The sequence below is a fragment of the Homo sapiens genome, chromosome 10 (assembly GCF_000001405.40).
Source record: "Homo sapiens chromosome 10, GRCh38.p14 Primary Assembly".
Taxonomy (NCBI): domain Eukaryota; kingdom Metazoa; phylum Chordata; class Mammalia; order Primates; family Hominidae; genus Homo; species Homo sapiens.
This window is the reverse complement of record NC_000010.11, coordinates 122,929,988-122,954,395: the sequence shown is the minus strand read 5'-3', so window position 1 is coordinate 122,954,395 and position 24,408 is coordinate 122,929,988. Positions and strand designations below refer to the sequence as shown.

Genomic DNA, 24,408 nt, shown 5'->3' with positions numbered 1-24,408 from the left:
TCCCCGCACACTTTGAACGCCGCGCCTGAGGCCAGCTGGCACATGCGCATGCGTGTCTCTGGTGCCTGCTCTCCCCACCAAAGCAAGAAGCGGCGGGTACTTGAAGCGGAGTGAGCCGGAAGTCGCTTTGCCTGCCCATTTCCACGCTGTACCGGCGGAAATTCAAGCACTGGAAGAGAGGTTCCGGGGCTGGGCTGGCCTGACTGAAGGCGGCGGAATGGAGACGCGGACCGAGGACGGGGGCCTCACCCGCCGCCCCACGCTGGCCTCTTCTTGGGATGTTGCAGGCGGGGCCCTGACCCACAGCCTCCTCCTCACCCGGGCCGGTCTCGGCCCCGGTGACTTCGACTGGGAGGAGCTGCTGGCACCGCCTGCTCCAGGGTGCGCCGGGCCGACGGGGACGGGGTCGCTATGCTCGGCAACTGCCGCGCTTCTAGGGGAGCTGTGAGGGGAGGCGAGAGGGTCTGAGCCCGGGATCCGGGAGAGCAGTTGGTACCAGGTCTCTAGTTGGGGAGGGGAGCTGCGAGGTCGTCCGGGGTGGGCGGAGGGGGGTGGGTCCGGCCGGGAAGGGGCCGAGGCTCCTGGGCGTGAGAGGGGGAAGGTGACCCGGACTCGGAATTTCATATAACGTCCCCATCAGGCGTGATAGCCCCTCAGGGCTGCTGTCAAAGTCAGTCCGCCCCTCTACCCTCAAACAAGACACCTCCTGTCCACCAAAACAGGCTGTGTAAAAAGTCCAGCTATAGATGATCGCTGTCGACTTAATTTCGAAAAAGATACACTTTTGTCTTTCATTGTGCCCTGCACCCAGTAGGTGCCCAGTGATTTATGTAATTATCCGAGAGTCAATTGCAGGGGATTGAGTAGAATGTTGATTGAGGAAAAAATAGAGTTTGGGAAAGCCCTGATGTGTGACACCTTCATTTCCGTATGAATTCTGTGTTGAGCGCTTCTTGGATGCTTGGGAAGGTGCTTGGACCTCAAGGGCAAGTGGAAGTGAGTTAGAAGAAAGAAGCCCCGGCCGGGCACGGTGGCTCACACCTGTAATCCCAGCACTTTGGGAGGCCGAGGCGGGCGGATCACGACGTCAGGAGATCAAGACCATCCTGGCTAACACGGCGAAACCCCGTCTCTACGAAAAATACAAAAAATTAGCCGGGCGCGGTGGCGGGTGCCTGTAGTCCCAGCTGCTTGGGAGGCTGAGGCAGGAGAATGGCGTGAACCCGGAAGGCGGAGCGTGCAGTGAGCCGAGATGGAGCCACTGCATTCCAGCCTGGGCGACAGAGCCAGACTCCGTCTCAAAAAAGAAGAGTCATGTTCAGAGAACTATACTGTGTGATGTTTTCACCAATTTTCTTCTCAGTCAGGATCTGGTGATTTTGAAGAGAAACCACAACAACAAAGATGAAAACCCCTGCTTCCTTTACCTGAGGTGTGGCCCTGATGGAGGTGAAGAAATCGCTTCTATTGGCATTTTAAGTTCAGCAAGAAATATGGAAGTGTACTTAGGAGAGGAGTACTGTGGAACCAGTAGGGGCAAGAATGTTTGTACTGTCCTGGATGACAGGTGTGTGACTTGTACACGGGAAAGTGTTCTTCTGAAGTAGTGTTTTGATTTTTCTCACTTTTTGCAATAATTATTGATTCTCTGATATTGATACCATATGTTATGGGAGAGAAGATAAAAATGTGCCAGTAGGCATAGAAGTTTACAACTTTAGAGATCTTAAAAGACAGTGTAGATCAGCCTAGTTATTTTTATAAATGTTGAAATTTAGAACTAACAATCAAGGTGAATTGGTAGGAGGTCATAGCTAGTTAGTGGAAGAGTTTTATTAGAATGAAATTTTGAGAAGTGTGTCTCTTTCCTTAAACTCACAGCAGTCTGTCTTCCGAAAGTTAATTTGGTAGTCAGTCTGGAACTTTGAATACATTTTCTTCTTGGAAGCCTATTAGAAATGGTGGAGGGATCTAAGACTGTGCTACATAAACCTATTTATTAACCTGTAACGCAACTTGTGATTTTTTTTCTTACGAAGATTTTTCTCCAATCTGTCTTTAACACAAAATATGAACTGTTTTATATCCTGCATGTTGGAAACAATTGCTGTGTTTATTGAGCTTTAAAATACAGTCTGGCTACATGGTTGTACATATGTTATATAATGTAATTTTCTCATTGAGCCTAGTAAGTGGTAGATGTAATCATAGGCAGTGTGCTTCAGTTATGGAGCCCAACTCTTCATGCCTCACCAGGAAAACTGAATCTTAGGATTTCAATATTGTTCTGGAAACATTTATTTTTAAGTGTAACTATTAAAAGTGACAATATATGTAAGTAAAAAAAATTAATTCTTTTTTATTTTTAGTGAACATGAAAAGATCATTTTGTATAAAAAAAATCTAAAATTGGAGTCCTCCACACATGCTTGTAAAATAAAGGTAAGTTGTCAGTTGTAAACTAATTTGACAACTAAGTTGTTTTTGTACTCTGTGTATGCTTGTTTTCTTTTGGATTAGTAATACAATTAGTCCAACTTGCTTGCTTGCTTTTTTTTTTCTTTTCAAGACAGTATCTTGCTCTGTTGCCCAGGCTGGAGTGCAGTGGGACAATCATGGCTCACTGCAACGTCATCTCCCAGCTCAAGCTAACTTCCTACCTCAGCCTCCCAAGTAGCTGGGACTACAGGCATACACCACCATGCCTGGCAAATTTTTTAAATTTTTAGTAGAGATGAGGCTCAGAAATACTTAGTAAACATGTACAAAGAAATTACTTTTCTAAAAAATTATCAGCCCTTTTTAACATTGAATTAAGAAATTTTTTTTTTTTTAAATTTTTCACCCGGTGACCAGTGAGTAGACTTTTTCTCTTAAAATTTAACCATGAGCCACGTGCAGTGGTACATGTTTATAATCCCAGTTACTCAGGAGGCTGAGGTGGGAGGATTGCTCAAGCCCAGGAGTTCAAGACCAACCTGGGCAACAGAGTGAAACCCCATCTCACTAAAAAAATAATAAAAATAAAATTTGACTATTTATTAACCTTGGATAATGTATTGTTAATATGGTAGTGCTGTGTATTTTGAAGTGTTGGGAAATTGAGCAAAAAACATTTTTAAAAACTATATAAACTGTGATGGCAAAAACCCATTTATAAAAGAACAAAATTAGAGAAGTTTCAAGCAAGAGAACCAATAAGTTAAAGGGATTGGACTGTTGTCTTCAGCATGAAAAATATTGTTAAGGTAACTGTTAGTTATGTCTTCAGAGTCTAGGGATAAGGTAATGGATTGGAAGTCTTAAGCCCTGAATGCTAATTCAGTTCTGTCCTGACTAGTGGATTAGTCTTGGGCAGATTTTGGACCTATCTCATGGGTAAAATTAGAGAGCTGAAGAAAATTCTTGGATTCTTTTTATCTCTAAACTTCTGTACTTATTATCATTACTTATAGAAGATTGAAACCTATTTTTACAATAAGAAAAAATAAGTGATTTTTACAGGCAGATAGCAAACTCACAGGACTGATTATCCCAAGATGTTGTTTTGGATAGTATATATTAAATAGCTTCTAAAACCATTTGAATAAAGTAATTTCTTCATTCAACAAAGATTTGAGTGCCTCTTAATGTCAGGTACTATACCAGTCATTTAGGAATTAGCAATAAGAAAATAAACTGAAATGCCTGAACTTATGTTGCTTGTATTCTAGTGGGCAAGACAGACAATAAGGAGACTCAATGAGTAAAATAAATACTATATTTAATGGTGAAAAAGGCTATGGGGTTAAAAAGAGAAAGGGGGATAATAGAGAGGTTGAGAGGTAGGAGGTTAATAAGAGTGTTTCCTTAAAATGTTGAAGACAGTCACATCTTTGGTTCAACACTTAAGAGTTCTTGGATCATGAGTCTGTATTGACCTATGTCCTTGTTTGACATGTGGACCTGTGTGTCTCTCTGAAGGTGAATGTTTTTTTAACTGTTCAATGGAGGTACATGGGAGTGCAAAGGGTTATTTCAGGGAAGCTCTAGGATTGATATGAAAGCTTGTTCTGAGGCAATAGTATATGGAAGTTCAAATAAAAAAATGGTTACTTATACAGGTTTTTGAGCACTTACTTACTGGTAGCTACTGGAAATTTTAACATATAATCCTCGCAACAACTATGTGAAATCATTGCTACTGTCTTCTCTCATTTTTATCCTGACTCAGATTTAGCATTTGCCCAGGGTCACACAGGTTGTTAAGTACCAGAGTCGTAAGTTAAACTTAGGTTTGTCTGATTCTAAAGTCCGTTCCCTTTCCATTTTGCTACTCTGTTGTCTGTACCATACATGAAATGTCTCGTTTCAGAAATATGGACAGGATAAAATGTTGGATAAACTACAGGGATAGAAGCCAGAAGAGATAGGTTTCAAGCTGGTTCTTTACTAATTGAGTGTCCTTTAACAAGTTAGAAAAATCACCCTTGAAGTCATCATTTCTATGTGTAATCCAGCAAGCTATATTACATCATTTTGATATTCTCTTATAGTTCTGAATTTGAAAGGATTGCATTTTACTTATTTCAGTAAACGTTTTACATGAGCATTTGGACAGACTTATTTTGTGTTAAGTAGCAAGTTGTGGTGTGTTAAGGTCTCAGATTGGTATATAGCAGTTCTCCTTTATCTGCAGTTTCACTTTCCACAGTTTCCATTACCCACAGTCAACTGAGGTCCAAAAATATTAAATGGAAAATTTCAGAAATAAACAATTCATAAGTTTTAAATTGTGCTTCATTCAGCGTAGTGTGATCGAATCTCCTGCCATCCTGCTCAGTCCTGTCTGGAACATGAATCATCCTTTTGTCTAGTATGTCCCTGCTGTATATGTTACTGCCCATTAGCCACTTACTAGCCAAATGTATCATCAGAAGGTCAGTAGTAGCCTAATCCTGTATTACAATGCCTGTGTCATTCACCTCACTTCATCTCATTATGTAGGCATTTTATCATGTCACGTCATTACAGGAAGGGTAAGTATTGCACAGTAAGATTTAGAGAGAGGAGACCATATTCACATAACTTTTATTATGTTGTCAAAATTACTCTATTGTTAAACTCTTACTATACCTAATTTATAAATTAAACTTTATCATAGGTATGTATGTATAGGAAAAAATATAGGGGTTGGTACTATATGCAATTTCAGGGAGCCACTGGAGGTCTTAGAACACATTCTCCACAGATAAAGAGGAACTACTATAGTTTATTTTTAGTTCTTTAAATAGGTAAACATTTATTTAATCACCTCATTTGTTATTTTACATGAAGTCTTAATTTTTGAAAGGACTCTTATTTAAATAGTTCATCTGAGCCTCATGATAAATTGGAATTTTTCCTGACTATTGCTGTTCTAGAGAAAAGTTTAAAATATACTTGAAGTTAATTTTTAGATTCTTGAATACTTCACTCTTGTTTAGGTCATACCAAGAAGTTACATTAAATGATTATTGTTTTTAATATCATTCTTTTCTGGAACTTTTGTTTTATAATAGTTGCTCTCCTTTGGCGAAAGGCAGTGTGTGTTCATCAGTAAAGTTGTGGTACACATGAGATCAGTTTTTGCAAATTCTTCAACAAGCTCTCCTGCTCTAGGATCAAGGATAGACCTTGACAAGGTCCAAACCATAATGGAGTCCATGGGGTCAAAGTTATCTCCTGGAGCTCAGCAGTTGATGGATATGGTTAGGTGTCAGCAGCGGGTAAGTAGAAATGGATTTCTTTCCAGATAACATTAATGATTTCAAAACCATTGCTTTTAGTAAAGAAATGTAGTGACTTAAAATTTTTCTTTCATACTGATTTAACTGTTATCTTTTAGTTTTGTAGAAGTTAACATTTGTTAGATTTGCCCTTCTACAAAGTGTTTTGACTACACATTTTCACACTTTTTATGAATGCATTCATTCATTCAGCAAGATTTTTTTCTTGCAGTAAACAAGGCACTGGTTTGAGCAATTTTGAGTGTGCGAAGATGGTCAGTTAATCTGTAGTCTTTAAGAATTTTTACATTCTGGAGCATGTAAGTGGGGAATGATGAAAACACTAAGGAAAGGCTCACTAAAAGAAGTGGTATTTTATCTAGGCCTTTAAAATGTAGGGTGGGATTAGACAAGTAAATTTGGAAGAAGGCCATTTCAGACAAAAAATAAGGTGAATAAAATCTTCAATGCTAGAAGAATTTGATATAGCTGGGAAATGAATGGTAGTTCATTTCTCTGAAGCAAAAAAGTAATAGGCAAAGTTTAAAGTAGATTTCAGCTAGATCATAAACAGCTTGGGATGCTGGTTTAAATTTGTAGATGTTTTTGACTTATGTTTCAAGAAATTTTAAGCCACTGTCAAGTGTAAGGTGAATCTGAAGAAAGTGAGACTACAAGGAGAAGATGAGCTGCACGTCATTCCCCTCGTCCAGATGAGAGTGAATGAGGTCTAAGATTGGACGTAGTAACATAATGCTGGATGCTAAATGATGCTAAAATGATGGAGCCATTGGGACTTGACAGCTAACTTAATATTGGTATTATGATAGAAAAATCAAGTTAAACATGAAATTGAGGCTTTGAAGATGGTGATACTAATAATATAAATGCAGCCCAAAGGAGGAGGATGCTTGGAGGAAAAAGGAATTTAATTTTGGGAACATTGACTTTTAGCTGTGAATAAGACATTCCCTGGAAGGATGTTGCAAACATCTGGAAACAGAGGATTAGGAGAAATGGAATGAACCTTCAGTGGCTGGAAGGGAAGTTTAGGGGTGTACCCACAGTAGCTGACGGAGGGTGGTGAAGGGAGAGGAAAAAGGAACCAGAAACATAGAAGGCAGCAGTGTGATAGAGTAGCAAGAGAAACGATTTGATGTCAGGTAAAGTGACTTCAAACTCTTGTCCTGCCTCTTCTTAGTTCTGCATCCTATGGCAAGTTAATTAATATTTTTTTCAATATGAATTCCTCATGTACAAAATCTAAATGATAACACTGTAAGGATCACAGAATTGATGTGAAAATTTAAAATAAGTAATGCAAGTAAAGAACTCCTTGTAGATGTTGTGTGGTTCACAAATATTAATGTAGTACCAGTATTATAATATGGGCTGAGTTAAGAGAACCAGGAGAGCTGAAGATTATGGAAACCACAGAAAGAAGAATTTCAAAAAAGATGGAAATGTATACTTTTCTTCCTCCCACACCATGTTCTCACCTGGATACCTCAGGAGATTCCTAACTGGCCCACCTGTCCTGCTACAATCTGTTTTCCACAATGTACCGAGAATGACCTCAAAGGATAATTGGATCTCATCCTTCTCCTGTGCAAAGCCCCCTGACTGCTTGCCTCCCTTTGTACTTAGAATTAATCCTGATTCCTTACCTTAATCTCTAAAATGTAGGCCCTGCTTGCCTTCTCAACCTCATCTCCTGCCATGTTTCCTTGGGCAGCTTGCTCCAGACATTCTGATATGTGTATTCCGTAAATATCTAGATATGTTCCCACCTCCAGACCTTTGCACTCATAACTGTTCTCTGTGGCCAGAACTCCCTCCCTGTGATACTTCTGTATCTGCATTTTTCTTATTCAGATCTCATTTTAATGTTACATCTTTAATGACACCTTTCTTAGCCAACCAGTGTAAAGTAGCATGTACCTCCAAATCCGTATCAGTTTCATCAGTGCCCTTTTGACCACTTTGTTGTTGTTTTTGTATTGGTTGCATGTTTATCTCACTAAAAGACAAGCTTCATGTAAACAAGACTTATCTGTCTTGTTTATGGCTCCAAGTATTATACACAGTCATGCATCAATTCACAGTGGGGATATGTTCTGAGAACAAAGGTGATTAGGGGATTTCATGGTTATGAAACCATCATGGTATGTACTTGCAGAATCCTAGATCATATAGCCTACTACGTACCTAGGTTACGAACCTGTATAGCATGTTACTTTACAGAATACTCTAGGCAGTTATAATGGTAAGGATTTGTGTATCTAAACATAGAAGAGGTACTGTAAAAATATAGTATACAAGATGAAAAATGGCACGCCTGTATAGGGCACTTACCATGAACTGAACTTGCAGGACTAGAAGTTACTCTAGGTAAGTCAGTAACTGAATATGAAGGCCTAGAACATTACTGTACACTACTGTAGACTTTATAAACACTGCACATTTAGGCTATGCTAAATTTCTTTAAACATTTTTTATTTTTCAATAATAAATTAAGCTTAGCTTATTGTAACTTTTTTTTTTTTATTTTTTGCGACAGAGTCTTCCTCTGTCATCTGGGCTGGAGTGCAGTGGTATGATCTCAGCTCACTGCAACCTCTGCCTCCTGGGTTCAAGCAATTCTCCTACCTCAGGCCCCTGAGTAGCTGGATTACAGGCGCATGCCACCACACCAGACTAATTTTTTTATTTTTAGTAGATACGGTGTTTCACCATGTTGGCCAGGCTGGTCTCGAACTCCAGGTTCTCAGGTGATCACCTGCCTTGGCCTCCCAAAGTACTGGGTGGGATTACAGGCGTGAACCACCATGCCCAGCCTATCGTAACTTTTTAACTTTATATACTTAAATTTTAAAAAACTTTTTGACTCTTTTGTAGTAAAGAGCTTAAAACACAAACTCATTGTATAGCTGTACAAATATATTTGGTTTCTTTATATCCTTTTTCTATTAAGCTTTTTTTGTATTTAATTTTTTTTTAAGTTTTAAACTTTTTTGCTTAAAACAAAGACACAAACATACACATTACCCTAGGCCTACAGAGGGTCAGGATCATAAGTATCACTGTCTCCCACCTCCATATCTTGTCCCACTGGAAGGTCTTCAGGGACAGTAATACCCATGGAGCTGTCATCTTGTATAATAATAATGCCTTCTTCTGGAAGACCTCCTGAAGGACCTGCCTGAGGTGGTTTTACAGTTAACTTTTAAAACATATAAGCAGAAGGAATATACTTTAAGACTAAAAATATGGTATAGTAAATACATAAACCAGCAACATAGTCATTGATTATTATTACTAAGTAGTATACAGTATACATAATTGTACATGCTATACTTTTATATGACTGGCAGTGTGCAATCGGTTGGTTTACACCAACATTGCCACAAACATGTGAGTAATGTGTTACTATGATACCACTTGGGGACTGGAATTTTTTAGCTCCATTGTAATCTTATGGGACCACTGTCATATGTGGGTCCATTGTGGACCAAAACATTGTAATGTGACACATACATATATCTATCTATACATACATATATATATACGTATATATACATGCATATATCTATATACATATATATATACACATATATACACGCATATATCTATATACATATATATATATACACATATATATACACACACACCTATTGGATTGATCAGCTATTTCTTGGAGATCCTCAGGGAGTAAGTTTGAATAGTGATGAGATGTAAACCAAATTGTGAGGGATTAGGTAGTAACTGGGTATTTGGGATGTGGAGTTACTAAGTGCACACAGGTTTTTTTTTTTCAAGTTTAGAGATAAAGAGGAAATTAGATACTTGTGTAAAGGAATATTGAAGATAAATAAGGAATTTGAAAAGCTTGTGAGATTTGAGCTTTATTAAGAATTTATTTAGGGCAGTGTATTTTTTCAAGTACACTCCATTGAACACCTGTGTCAGAATCCTTTGGAAGGTCTTCAAAATGCAGATTCCTGGCCCTCACTATCTACTCAATCCCAGAGGGTGGGGTCCAGGAATCAGTGTTTTAAACAGTCATGTCTAAGTGAGTTTTATGTACATTGTGATTTGATAATAACTCTTTTTTTTAATTATTATTATACTTTAAGTTTTAGGGTACATGTGCACAATGTGCAGGTTTGTTACATATGTATACATGTGCCATGCTGGTGCGCTGCACCCACTAACTCGTTATCTAGCATTAGGTATATCTCCCAATGCTATCCCTCCCCCCTCCCCCCACCCCACAACAGTCCCCAGAGTGTGATGTTCCCCTTCCTGTGTCCATGTGTTCTCATTGTTCAATTCCCACCTATGAGTGAGAATATGCGGTGTTTGGTTTTTTGTTCTTGTGAGAGTTTACTGAGAATGATGGTTTCCAATTTCATCCATGTCCCTACAAAGGACATGAACTCACCATTTTTTATGGCTGCATAGTATTCCATGGTGTATATGTGCCACATTTTCTTAATCCAGTCTATCATTGTTGGACATTTGGGTTGGTTCCAAGTCTTTGCTATTGTGAATAATGCCACAATAAATATATGTGTGCATGTGTCTTTAGAGCAGCATGATTTATAATCCTTTGGGTATATACCCAGTAATGGGATGGCTGGGTCAAATGGTATTTCTAGTTCTAGATCCCTGAGGAATCGCCACACTGACTTCCACAATGGTTGAACTAGTTTACAGTCCCACCAACAGTGTAAAAGTGTTCCTATTTCTCCACATTCTCTCCAGCACCTGCTGTTTCCTGACTTTTTAATGATTGCCATTCTAACTGGTGTGAAATGGTATCTCATTGTGGTTTTGATTTGCGTTTCTCTGATGGCCAGTGATGGTGAGCATTTTTTCATGTGTTTTTTGGCTGCATAAATGTCTTCTTTTGAGAAGTGTCTGTTCATGTCCTTTGCCTACTTTTTGATGGGGTTGTTTGTTTTTTTCTTGTAAATTTGTTTGAGTTCATTGCAGATTCTGGATATTAGCCCTTTGTCAGATGAGTAGGTTGCAAAAATTTTCTCCCATTCTGTAGGTTGCCTGTTCACTCTGATGGTAGTTTCTTTTGCTGTGCAGAAGCTGTTTAGTTTAATTAGATCCCATTTGTCAATTTTGGCTTTTGTTGCCATTGCTTTTGGTGTTTTAGACATGAAGTCCTTGCCCATGCCTATGTCCTGAATGGTAATGCCTAGGTTTTCTTCTAGGGTTTTTATGGTTTTAGGTCTAACGTTTAAGTCTTTAATCCATCTTGAGTTGATTTTTGTATAAGGTGTAAGGAAGGGATCCAGTTTCAGCTTTCTACATATGGCTAGCCAGTTTTCCCAGCACCATTTATTAAATAGGGAATCCTTTCCCCATTGCTTGTTTTTCTCAGGTTTGTCAAAGATCAGATAGTTGTAGATATGCGGCGTTATTTCTGAGGGCTCTGTTCTGTTCCATTGATCTATATCTCTGTTTTGGTACCAGTACCATGCTGTTTTGGTTACTGTAGCCTTGTAGTATAGTTTGAAGTCAGGCAGTGTGATGCCTCCAGCTTTGTTCTTTTGGCTTAGGATTGACTTGGCGATGCGGGCTCTTTTTTGGTTCCATATGAACTTTAAAATAGTTTTTCCAATTCTGTGAAGAAAGTCATTGGTAGCTTGATGGGGATGGCATTGAATCTGTAAATTACCTTGGGCAGTATGGCCATTTTCACGATATTGATTCTTCCTACCCATGAGCATGGAATGTTCTTCCATTTGTTTGTATCCTCTTTTATTTCCTTGAGCAGTGGTTTGTAGTTCTCCTTGAAGAGGTCCTTCACATCCCTTGTAAGCTGGATTCCTAGGTATTTTATTCTCTTTGAAGCAATTGTGAATGGGAGTTCACTCATGATTTGGCTCTCTGTTTGTCTGTTGTTAGTGTATAAGAATGCTTGTGATTTTTGTACATTGATTTTGTATCCTGAGACTTTGCTGAAGTTGCTTATCAGCTTAAGGAGATTTTGGGCTGAGACGATGGGGTTTTCTAGATATACAATCATGTCATCTGCAAACAGGGACAATTTGACTTCCTCTTTTCCTAATTGAATACCCTTTATTTCCTTCTCCTGCCTAATTGCCCTGGCCAGAACTTCCAACACTATGTTGAATAGGAGTGGTGAGAGAGGGCATCCCTATCTTGTGCCAGTTTTCAAAGGGAATGCTTCCAGTTTTTGTCCATTCAGTATGATATTGGCTGTGGGTTTGTCATAGATAGCTCTTATTATTTTGAGATATGTCCTATCAATACCTAATTTATTGAGAGTTTTTAGCATGAAGGGTTGTTGAATTTTGTCAAAGGCCTTTTCTGCATCTATTGAGATAATCATGTGGTTTTTGTCTTTGGTTCTGTTTATGTGCTGGATTACATGATAATAACTCTTTTAATGGAAGATTTTAAAAAGGAAGCAATTGTTTGTGAACAAATTTTGGTAACGATTAGAGGATATTAATTAGTTTACTGTCTGATTATTTTAAAATCTTGACACTAGGAAAAAATGAAACTAGATATATTTTTATTTTGGCTGTGTCTTTAAATTTTTATAGTTTTATTTATAAATAATTTTTCTTTGCCATGAATTTTAACCAATACAGAAGTGTTAGGTAAAAATTAAAAATGTTTTCCAGCTGTCATTCTATACCCCAGAGGATACACAGCTAACAGTTTGGCGTGTATCCTTGTAGAGTTTTTTTATGCATGTAGCAACACAGAAGGCTCTCCCCCATGCCACCCCACCCTCAGCCAACACTCATGGGTTACTGCTATGTACACTGTACAATAACTTACTTTCTTCTCACCACTAATGCAGGGACATTTCTGGGACACCCTGGGGAAGAAAGAAGGTGATAAACAGTTCTGTGTCCTTTTAAACATGCTAATGGAAGACTTCCTTCCTAGTAAGAAAAGTCCTTATTTATGGAGTGATTCTTACAGGATGTACCTGGTTCTCTAGGATTGCTTATTGATGACAAACTAGGCATCTATACATTCTAAGGCATAGAGAATGTCATATAAGCTGTGTAACTTTCTGCACATAAAATGGGAATGTTTCATGACCAAATCAACTCCTTCCGTGTAAGTGGTGTGATCACACATGTTGTTTGGGCAGGACTTCTCTTGGGGGAAAGGAAGGACCTCAGAAGTTTTGGCTTCTCTCTGGCTTACCTGTGCCTTGGAATTACTTGTTTTCTCGAAAGTTTGATTAAAGTTCAACACGCCAAGTTTTGTGAGTCTGAAATGCAATCCAAACCTTTGTGATTTCTCAATAAGTATTAAGATTATTTTTTATTTCCTTCTATTTGAAGTTCAGTTTGCTGGCTTTGATTTGCTTTTGCTTTAGCAATTTAGAATTCTTGAATAGGAATTCTATATCAAAGGGTGTAGCATATGATTGTCATTTAATGTTATCTGAATGAAAGGATATGACCCATTTTCTCAAAGAAAACATATTCAGTTATTTAGGAGTTATACTCTTGCTTTTTTCTCCTTCAAAATAAAAATGACTTTATTATTTAATTTCTTTCTGATTATTAAAGGTGATACAAAAAAATTAAAAAGCAAAAAGGTATAGGAAATTCATACTTTCCTAAATCCTACAATATATTTAAAGATAAACTATTATTTTTTCAGAAATCTCTATTGTGTGTATACAGAATATATGTAGTTATACATATACACATACACATATCTTTGTAAGTATATGGACACAGTTCTCTCTAAATGCTTTCATACTGCATATGTTGCTCAGGAACATTTTTCACTTGAAAGGATATCAATAAATACAGCTTTCTATGGTTTTATGAATATTATGCAGTTACCTATTCATGGATATTTAAGTTTCTTCAAAATTTTTAATAGCATGTTAACAGTGGAGGCTCACATAAAGAGAAATAAAGGATTAGCTACCAGGCACCTGAGATTTCTTCATTTCCTATAGTGGCATGTAGACATATCTGAATTTCTTGATATTTATTCCAAAGAGAAAAGATCATCTAAAGAGCTCTCATCTCAGAAAATGTGACCTTTTTTAAATTGTGGTAAGAATACTTAACATGAGATCTACCCTCTTAACAAATTTTTAAATGTACAATATGGTGTTGTTAACTATAGACACTGTTGTACAGAAGATCTCTAAAACAGATTCATCTTGTAAAGCTGTAACTTTATACCTATTGAATAGCAATTCATTTCTCCTTCCCCCCATCTCCTAGCAACCACCATTCTACTCTCTGTTTCTGAGTTTAACTATTTTAGATATGTCATGTTAATGGAATCATCCATTATTTATTCTTCTGTGCCTGGCTTATTTCACTTAGCATGTCTTCCAGATTGATCATATTGTCACATGACAAAATATCCTTCTTCTCAAAGGCTGAATGGTATTTCATTGTATGATATTCATTCAATGATATTTCATTTCATTTTCTTTATCAATACATCAGTCAATGGACATTTAGGTTGTTTCTGTATCTTGGCGGTTGTGAGTACTGCTGCAGTGAACATGGGAGTGCAGATAATCTTTTTGAGATCCCAGTTTCAGTTATTTTGGATATATGCCCAGAAGTGGGATTGTTAGATCATATGGTAGTTCTATTTTTAATTTTTTGAGGAGCCTCCATACTGTTTTTCATCACTGCTATACTATTTTACATTCTTAACCAATGACTAATTTTCATAATCAGTGAATTCTTATAAACAGAATATTATATGTCAGAAAGGAAAAATTTACATAGCAAATACCTTTACATTTAGATTTTTCTGTTTAAATGTTCTGCCTACTTAATGTTCACCCATACTTTTGACATTGACTGTAGTGTAAATATTATTACTCTTAATGTAGTTTTCCACTGTACATTTTGTTTTGAAATGTCATAGAGAAATAAATGGGCTTTCCTGTTATGACTGAGTAACTTTCTTTGAGCTTATGGGGAGTTGTCCAATGTTAACATTTTATAAATATAATTTTACATAATTCATCTTATTCCAGGAATATTTAAATATTCAAGTTTATTCAAAACTTGCATTTTATAAAACAAGATAAACTTACAGTAGGTTAACATTTCTCTATAAAGAGCACTTTTCCAAAGTGCAGTTTGGTAAAAAGTTAGATGGGGACATGACATTACAAATCTTCCCCCAGCTTCCCTGGCCCTTATTATTCTCCTTTCTCACTTTATTTTTCCCTAAAGTATTTATCACCATCTCCATTTCATGATACATTTTTTCCTTTCTTTTCTTTTCTTGACTTTTTTCTCTTCTTCCTTCTTCACTTCTTTTCTCTTTCCCTTACTTTCTCTTTTTCTTTTCTTTCCCCTTTTTCCTTCTTTTCTTTTGTAGTTTGTGTCTCCTTGCTCCCCTGTCATATAGGCTCTGTGAGGTCAGGGATTTTAATTTATTTTGTTCGCTGCTGTATTTCCAGTGCTTGAAACAATACTAGCACAGAGTAGATTCCTGGTAAATATTTGTTGAATAAATTAATGTTGTTCCGGCTTAGTCTAGTAATAACTTTTTAGAATATCTATAAGTATATGAACTGAGTTTCTTCAGCTAATTTACATATTGCTTTTTCAGTCTGTTTCACCAGCTGTTGAACAGCAATAAGTGTGGGATGATAACCCCTGATAAGAATCTATAGTAGACTTTTATGTTTTGAATTTAGAGTGGAGCCATATGCCTTAAGACTTAGGCTAGAGATATTTTCTTTTATCCAATGGAAAAATTAAAGAGCATAAAAGGGAGATACTGTAATCATCCCTTCAAGGTAAGCCAGAATCTTCTCAGGAAATAATACTGCATAACCAGTTGAATTGAGGCTGCAAAACAACTCTCATTATCCTGGAAATTCTTAGAGCAAACACAGCCAGAAGTAGCTAATTTCAGTCATTGAAAATGTCACAAATGTACCCATAGAGCATCTAACTTTAAATAGCATACCTATCTGTGTAGTTTCCAGGAAAAATTCATTGCAAAAGATATTACTAGATGAAAGTGAGTAACTTACCGTATTTTGACAGTTGGGAATGATATAATTGAATTTTAAGAAACTTACCGGTTCTTGTGACTCAGTTGAGAGTAGTACATTTTATTATCATAAAGAGACATTTGTAGTGGAAACATTAGTGTCAGTGCAGTTTGACTATTCATGCTAGTATTTATTTAATTTCTTTTGGGAAAAACTACAATGAAATGATTGAAAGTCATGACTGTGGAGTTAAGTGACCTGCGTTCATGTTCCAGTTCTGCCACTTACTGGCTGGTTACCTTGGCTAGGTACCTTTAGCCTTGGTCTCCTCAGCTTAATATTGGGATAGTATTAGTGGCCTACTTTATAAGGATGTTTTGAGGATTGGATGAAACAATGCACAGTGCCTGACTCATAGTAATTACTCCAAAAGTTAGCTGTCAGTGTTATTAATATTAACATTTACTTGTTTACCTTGTTTAGAATTGTATTCCCATTGGAGAGCAGCTTCAGTCGGTGTTGGGCAATTCTGGATACAAGCATATGATTGGACTACAATCCTCATCTACCTTAGGAACCTTAAACAAGTCGTCCTCCACACCTTTTCCTTTTAGAACTGGATTGACATCTGGGAACGTGACTGAAAACTTACAAACTTACATTGATAAAAGTACACAACTGCCTGGTGGAGAGAATTCTACCAAGCTTGATGAGTGTAAAGTTATGCCTCAAAACCATTCCTTTCTTGAAAATGATCTTAAAAATGCAATGGCCTCTTTCTTACCAAAGAAAGTAAGTGACAACTCAAATATACCCAACTCCGAGTTGCTGCCTTTTCTCCAGAATTTATGTAGTCAAGTTAATCATCTCCATGTGGGAAATAAGACCGAGTGTCAGGAAAACATCACCAAGCATGGTGAACGCATTCTTGGTGTTGGGTAAGTATTATTTTAAGACATACGAGTTTCGATTTGGTAGGTGGAAGAATCAGATGAAAGGAAACAGATTTGTCTCAATGAGTACTGCCTAAAATTTGTTTCCAGAGAAAATTTTAGCAACTTTTACATTTTACCATTAATACACTTAAAGGGGATAACTGCAGAGTAGAATGGATTACTTTGAAAGAAGTCCCTATAACTGGAGGTTTTGCACACTTCCCAGGCATTTTGTGGAAGGGTCACAAGTATTAGTTCACAGTTGGAATAGAAAGTGATTTGCATGAATGGAAAGGAGCTGTGGGAATTATAATCTTTATGTTGTTTTTATATATTTGTACTATTTTGTGCCTGGGTATGTTAAGCATGTCATTGTGACATTTTCCTTGAAGATTATGTTTGGTCTAGGCAAATTCCTGATTATTAAAAAACTATATTAGGATAATAATCACTTGTAGTTTACAAGCTATTATCCCCAGTCTCTTAATCCCTTATTTTGGCAGTACATATTTGATTAAGAGATAGCTAAGTATTATGTTCCTAATTGCTTAAGTAGATATAGTATGTCAAAATGGTGTTCTAGACTAGAATTCAGGACTCTAGGTGTGGTTTTGGCTTAAACATGTTGCCACACTGTTTAGTATTCTTTAGCCTAAGAGATTTTATTTGAAAATGAGGTAGTTGGATGATTTTGTAACTAAACGCCACCACCAACCAACAGGATTGAGTTGACATTTATAGAGAACTCTACCAACAATAGCAGAATATACACTTTTTTCAAGCATCTATGGAAGATTTGCAAAGATAGATTATATCTTGAGTCACAAAGCAAATCTGACCAAATTCAAGAGGATTGAAATAATACAATGTGTGTTTTCTGACCATAAATGAATCTAACTAGAAACCAATAAAAGACAACAAAATTTCCAGATTTTTGGGAATTACACAGCATTCTTAAATTTATGGTTCAAGAAAAAGTCTTGACAGAAATTAAACCTATTACACAGAAATGAATGAAAATACAACACATCAAAATTTGTGGGATGCAGTTAAAGAAGTATTGATAAGGATATTTATAGCACTAAATGATTACATTAGAAAAGAGGATTGTTCTTAAATCAGTAGCGTAAAGCTACAGCTCAACCAAAATAAAATAATCTGAATAGTCCTATAACCATTAAAGAAATTGAATTTACAATTTTAAAGCCAAGCAAACTGATCTTAAAGCAAGCAGAAAGAAGGAAATAATAACAGAAATCAGTGTAACTGAAAACAAGCAAACAAAATCAATGAAGCCAAAAGCCAGTTCTTTGAAAATTTCAATAAAATTGATACACTTCAAACAAGACTATCAAAAGATAAAAAGAAGATGCAATCATCAGTATCCGGAATGTAATGAGATGTCACTACTGATCCTAAGGCCGTTAAAAGATAACAAGGGAGGGAATATTACAAACAAATTTATGCTCATAAATTTGACAACTTAGGAGAAATGGATTAATTTCCCCAAAACCACAAACTACCAACCAAACTCAGCCAACATGAAATAAGTAATAAAATAGTCCTATAACCACTAAAAATATTTGATTAATGATTGGAAAGCTCATGAAAAAGAAATATCCAGGCCCAGATGGCTACACTGAAGGTTTCCACTGAACATTTAAAGAACATCAATTTTACATGCTTTTAAAAACTAGAAGAGGAGGGAAGATGTTCCAACTCATTCTGTGAAGTCAGTATTAGCCTGACACCAAACTAGATTGCCCCCCAAAATTAAAATACACAAAAATGCATGTAAATATATGTAAAATATGTAAATCTATAAAAAATACTTATAAAATATATGAAAAAATTTATAAACCTAACAAAATATATAAGGATATGTGAAATGAAAATTATAAAATACTGACAAAGGAAAAGAAAAGCCCTAAAAACTGGAGAGACATACCATATTCATGGATTTGAAGACACAGCATAGTAAAAACGTCAATTCTCTCCTAGTTGATATATAAATTTAATGTAATTCCTATGAAAAATCGAGCATGATTTTTTATAAATATGAATGAGATGATTCTAAAATTTAGAAATGGAGAATTTTTTAAAATGGAAAAATAAAGGAACTATAAAAAATTTTGAAAAAGTGTAAGAGAAATCACTACTTGATTTCAAGACATAGCCACAGTATTCAAGACTGTGTTATTGTCAGAGGCATAGACTTATAGATGGATAGCACAGAAATAACTCTGCACAAGTACACCAACTGACGTTTGACAATGCAAAAATAATTCAATACAGGTAGAATTGTCTTTTTAACCTGTGCTGGAACAGTTGGATATCCACAGGCAAAAAATGAATTGTGACTTAAATCTTATACTTTATGCAAAAATTAACACAAAATTACTTATAGATTAAAATGTAAAATATAAAACTATAAAGCTTTTCTACAGGAGAAACTCTAGGGACCTAGGACTAGGAAATGAGTTCTCAGATATGACATCAAAAGCGTGATCCATAAAATAAAAAACTGATTTATTGGGCCCCATCAAAATGTAAAACTTTTGTTTATGAAAGACACTGTTAGGGGAATTAAAATACAGACTGGGAGAAATTCTTTGCAAATTACAAATCCAGCAAATGACCTGTCTCTGAAGTACATAAAGAACTCTCAAAACTCTATGTTAAAAGCAAATAAAAATAAAACCTAACAATCCAATTTAAACCATGGGCAAAAGAATAGTCATTTCAACAGACAGGATATACAAATAGCAAATAAGCACAAGGAAAGTTGATCAACATTGACTTAGTGACTATTAGGGAAATGCATATTAAAACCACAATATATCACTACATATTTGGATGGCTAAAATTTAAAAATGGTAACAATACCAAATGCTGACAAAGATGTTTGGGAACTGGATCTCTCATACATTGTTGGTAGGAATATAAAATGGTACAGTCACTCTAAAAAATATTTTGGCAATATCTTAAAAACTAAACATACAGTTACCGTACAACCCAGCAATTATACTCCTGGACATCCCAGAGAAATGAAAGCTCAGGTCCACACAGAAACTTGTACACAGTTATTAATAAAAGCTTTCTTTGTAATATCCCAGAAGTCCCAACTAAAATGTCTTAGCAATAGGTGAATGGTTAAACTATGGTACCTCCATATCACGCAGTGCTGATGAGCAGTAAAAAACAACTTGGACATCTCTCAAAGGCATTTTGCTGAGTGACAAAAGAGAATCTCAAAAGGTCACATACTGTATGATCTCACTTTATAATATTTTCAAAATAATAAAACTGTAGAGATGAACAACATATTGATGGTTACCAGGTATTAGGGAAAGAAGACTTTAGGGGAGTAGGTATGACAATAGAGGGGTAGCAGGGAGGAGATCATTGCAGTTAAAGAATGGTTCTGCCTTTTGATTATGGTGGTGTTTAAATAAATATGTGTACATATGATAAAATGGCATAGAACTATACACACACATCATATTAATATCAATTTCCTGGTTTTGATATTGGATTATAGGTAGATAAGATGTGACCATTGGGAGGATTGGATAAAGGGCACTGAGAAACTAATATCTTTGCAACTTCCTGTGAATCCATAATTATTTCAAAATACAGAGTTTCTTAAAAACTGTCTTTGGTGTATTCTAGAGTAGTGGCTCTCAGACTTTTGGTCTTTACACTCTTAATTGAGGACTCCAATAAACTTATGTAGGCTACATAAAAATATTTGTTTAAAAATAACAATAAACCCACTGTATATTAACATAAATAACAGTCTTTATGAAAAAAAGCCAGATTTTCTTTTAAAATTTTATTGAGAATAGTATTATTTTAAATGTACATGAATCTATACATAATAGCTTTTGGCTGCATTATCATGTATATTGAATTATAGCATGTATAGTGAAATATAGCTAGTAAGAGCACAGTAGGAATACTGAGAACAGAGTGGATTAATCTCTGAAAAAGCATATATTTATACACTAAATCTCTACTACCTTGAAATTTTAGGAAAGAAGAATACACAACTACAGATTCTGTTAGTCATCAGGGCAATAACATAGATTTTGTAGCCTCTGGAAAATTCATGAGTATGAGGATGAGAAAGTCGAATAACATCTTAGTATAAACATACTTCTGACCTCAGTGAATTCCCAAAAGAATCATGGAGACCCCAAGGTTCTGTGGACCACATTCTGAGAGTTACTGTTCTTGTTTTGAGACGGAGTCTTATCACCCAGGCTGGAGTGCAGTTGCGCAATCTCAGCTCACTGCAGCCTCTGTCTCCCGGGTTCAAGCAATCCTCCCAGGTAGCTGGGACTACAGGCGCCCACCACCATACCCAGCTAATTTTTGTACTTTTAGTAAGAGACAAGAGTTTCACCATGTTGGCCAGGCTGGTCTCGAACTCCTGACCTCAAGTGATCCACTCACCTCAGCCTCCCAAAGTGCTGGGATTACAGGCGTGAGCCACCGTGCCTGCCCTGAGACTTACTGTTCTAATGTTCATTGTGAACGTTAGAAATTGGTGTGCTTTTTATTTATTTTGTTAGTTTGCCCATTCTAGTTAAATTCTGAAGTGTTTTTATACCAGGTTAAAAAAAAGAACCTTCTAGTAGTTTAGTAAGGTTGTTTGTATGAAGGAAGAAAAACTTTATAGAGTTGGTTGGGGAAGTATTTGAAAATATGCATGTTGACTTTAGAAGAAAATTGGGCCAGATCAGTTTTGATTTGGACCTCAAAATCAAAAAGACCCTTTCTAAAGACTTGCTCTTTGAGGGTTCCTTTTCACTTTTACATTTCTGTTCAATTGTATACTAAAAAAGAATTAATAATGTGTTGGGCATTTAGGGCTGTGGTTGCCTATTGTGGATGTGTATTAGGACCTAGAAATGCATTGTAAGAAGACAGAGCACAGTTGTGGAGACAAATCTCAGCAATATATGTTGGCTGCTTGTTTTATAAGCTTGGTTGTTTTTGTTATTAGGGAAAATTTACACATTTTTAAAAATGTATTTTTAGAATGGAAGAGCAATCTATTTGCTCCTACTTGGAAAAGATTCTTTCTAAAAATATGGAACTGATGGAAAAGAAACTTATGGATTACATTGATCAGCGAATACATGAACTCCAGGAGCACATTGATGATAAGATTGCTTTGTTACTGGATTTGCTGCAAAATCCTAACTCCCCGCCCACTGGGATACCTCTAAGACATTATGACTCTGGAGAAAGACTTTCAAATGGAGAAAGATAAGCTCTCAACATAAACAGTGTACTGCAGATATTTATTACATATTTATTACAAAGCCAAAACCCAAAAATATTTATAAAAAGCAAGTATTTAATGTCCTTTGAGGGATCATTGTCTTACACAAAGTGACCTCAGTTTTCGTTTTTACTACACTTGTTATTTTAAATCCAGTACTGTACACTGAGTTAATATGATACAGTCAAATTATTTTTGCTCACGATATTTTTCAGTCTTACAGAAATGTATGTATATTTGTGTTAAGAGTTTAAAATGCTTGAGGATTTCTAATACAGTTCATTAGTTTGTATTGTATATGTGTTTAAGTATAATTTTTATTTATACAAAGATCTTATAGTCTTAGAAGTATGAAAAATAATGCTTAAGAGTATTTGATTTTTTTCTTTTTCTAATTATCTTGGAAAATTGGATACTTAAGACTTGGAGCCTTTACTTCAGATTACCAGTTTACATTTTGTATTGCTTGTGTGAGATAATGAATAAGATGTGATATTTGGCATGTGTAAACTTAGTTCACTCTGGGGTTGTTAATATTATTTGTTTCATTACAGAGTAGCTGTAGGTAGGAAAGTAAACATCAGAACTAGCCTAGTCCTTGTTACGATTAGTACTTTGGATTTGATTTTTCCTGTAAAACAGATGCAGTCATCTTGTTTGACCTCAGTAACCCCAGACAGTTTAAGAAAACCTCTCCTTTTGAGCTGATACAGGTTTTTTCCCCAGAATCCTTTTCTGGCATGTTTATTGTATGAAATAATGAGGCTCTCCATGGAAGGATGAACACATATGAGTCAAGGGATTGCAATTCTCTCTGATAGACTTAGTTTTCAGACCTTATAACTATTGTATATGCATTGAAGGGTGATATATTTGCATATAAAAATAAATGCACCTGCTCTGGGAACTACTTGTCTTTAGTTAGTAGAACTGTTTTATTTCAACTAATCTTTACTTCAAATGTCTTATTTTTTAGAAAAAGGGTATCTCATACTCATTTAATATTTTGGCAAATTTCTTCTTTAAAAATGTTACCTGATGTAATTCCTGCGTGACATAGCTGAATTTTTACCCTGCCCTAACTCTGCTTATCTTTAAGAAACAGGATGCCTGTGATGAAAAGTTCCTTTTGTAACCAGTCCAGAGGAGACTGGTTACAACCACGATAGCTGACCAAACGACTTTAAAAAGACCTCAGCCTTTTTATAATCTTATTTCTGTGCTAAATAACGCTCCTGCTAGCTCCATGACAGTTGACAATCGCCATGACAGTGACCAGAAGAAGCCATGAAAGGACAAAAAGGAAGGCAGCACTCTGGTTTTAGGAAGTTCACTGCCCATTTCTGAAAAATCCAGGAATATTCCTCCCTTTGCTTGAATGTGAAACACCTTTATTAGAAAAATTATATTTTAACCCCCTCACTCCTCATTAGTTGAAAAGTTGATTTGTGAGCCATACTCCTGCTTCTCAATTCAGTGGCGATTGAATAAAACCTGCAGTGTTTGTCACTCTTTTTTGGTTTCACGTATTGGCTTTGTGACACCCATCAGGGAAAGACCCCATCTTTTGGAGGACCAGCTTTGTTGGTAACAAAAGGAGGGCTAATTTATATGTTGTTTGTTCATTTTTATCATACTACAAAGGTGACACAGTATATGGAACAAACTGTGACCATAGTAATGTCAGGATTTGCATATCCCTTTTGATAGTCCTTGAAGGGCCATTATTTATGGGACATTCATAACATATATTAGATAGTATCTCTGTTCTCATTGAGAAGTCTGTCTCAAGTTTGAATCTGTTAGTTAATAGTCCTGCATTAGTTAATAGTCCTGCATCTTCTGGTAGTTGTGGTCTGTTCATTGATTCACAAAGTGCCTCACTATGATGTGGTAGCAATTACTGTATTCCAAGCAAGGATGATGAATGAAGTTAGGGGCAGACAGTACAAAGGCCAATTCTGAGTTCCTTCTGCATGTATCTGATGATGAAGTAATTGGGAAGCAAGATCACAATCATCTTAAAGAGTAATATTTGGCAATTTGAAATTTGATAAATATGTGATTTCTCTACATACTCTGCATTTGTTATTTGGAACAGTGCCAGCATAACAGAGGAACTGTTATTGGAATTAGCTTAGTGTTTATGTTAAAAATCAAAGACAAAATATCCCTGAAAGTATTTGTTTTTATTTATTTATTTATTTATTTATTTTGAGACAGAGTTTCACTCTGTAGCCCAGGCTGGAGTGCAGTGGTGCGATCTCATCTCACTTCAACCTCTGCCTCCTGGTTCAAGCAATTCTCCTACCTCAGCCTCCCGAGTAGCTGGGATTACAGGTGCAGACCACCATGCCTGGCTAATTTTTGTATTTTTAGTACAAAATACTGTTGGTCAATCTGGTCTTGAACTCCTGACCTCAAATG

At 36.3% G+C, this 24,408-nt stretch overlaps 1 protein-coding gene across 1 annotated transcript, besides 1 other annotated feature; it reads left to right on the top strand.

The window, feature by feature from the left end:
• Window positions 1-168: 168 nt before the first annotated feature.
• C10orf88 (chromosome 10 open reading frame 88) lies at window positions 169-23,495 on the top strand. The gene is made up of 6 exons (NM_024942.4): window positions 169-381; window positions 1,364-1,567; window positions 2,370-2,442; window positions 5,541-5,747; window positions 16,237-16,691; window positions 21,735-23,495. Exons 1-6 carry the CDS (start codon window positions 218-220, stop codon window positions 21,967-21,969), a joined length of 1,338 nt encoding a protein of 445 aa, NP_079218.2. The 5' UTR covers window positions 169-217; the 3' UTR covers window positions 21,970-23,495.
• Window positions 374-453: a silencer, noted in NCBI's record as "silent region_2894". NCBI's record gives its function as "represses an Ori minimal core promoter by ATAC-STARR-seq in GM12878 lymphoblastoid cells {active_cell/tissue: GM12878}" and the evidence as "EXISTENCE:reporter gene assay evidence [ECO:0000049][PMID:35858748]".
• Window positions 23,496-24,408: the final 913 nt, after the last annotated feature.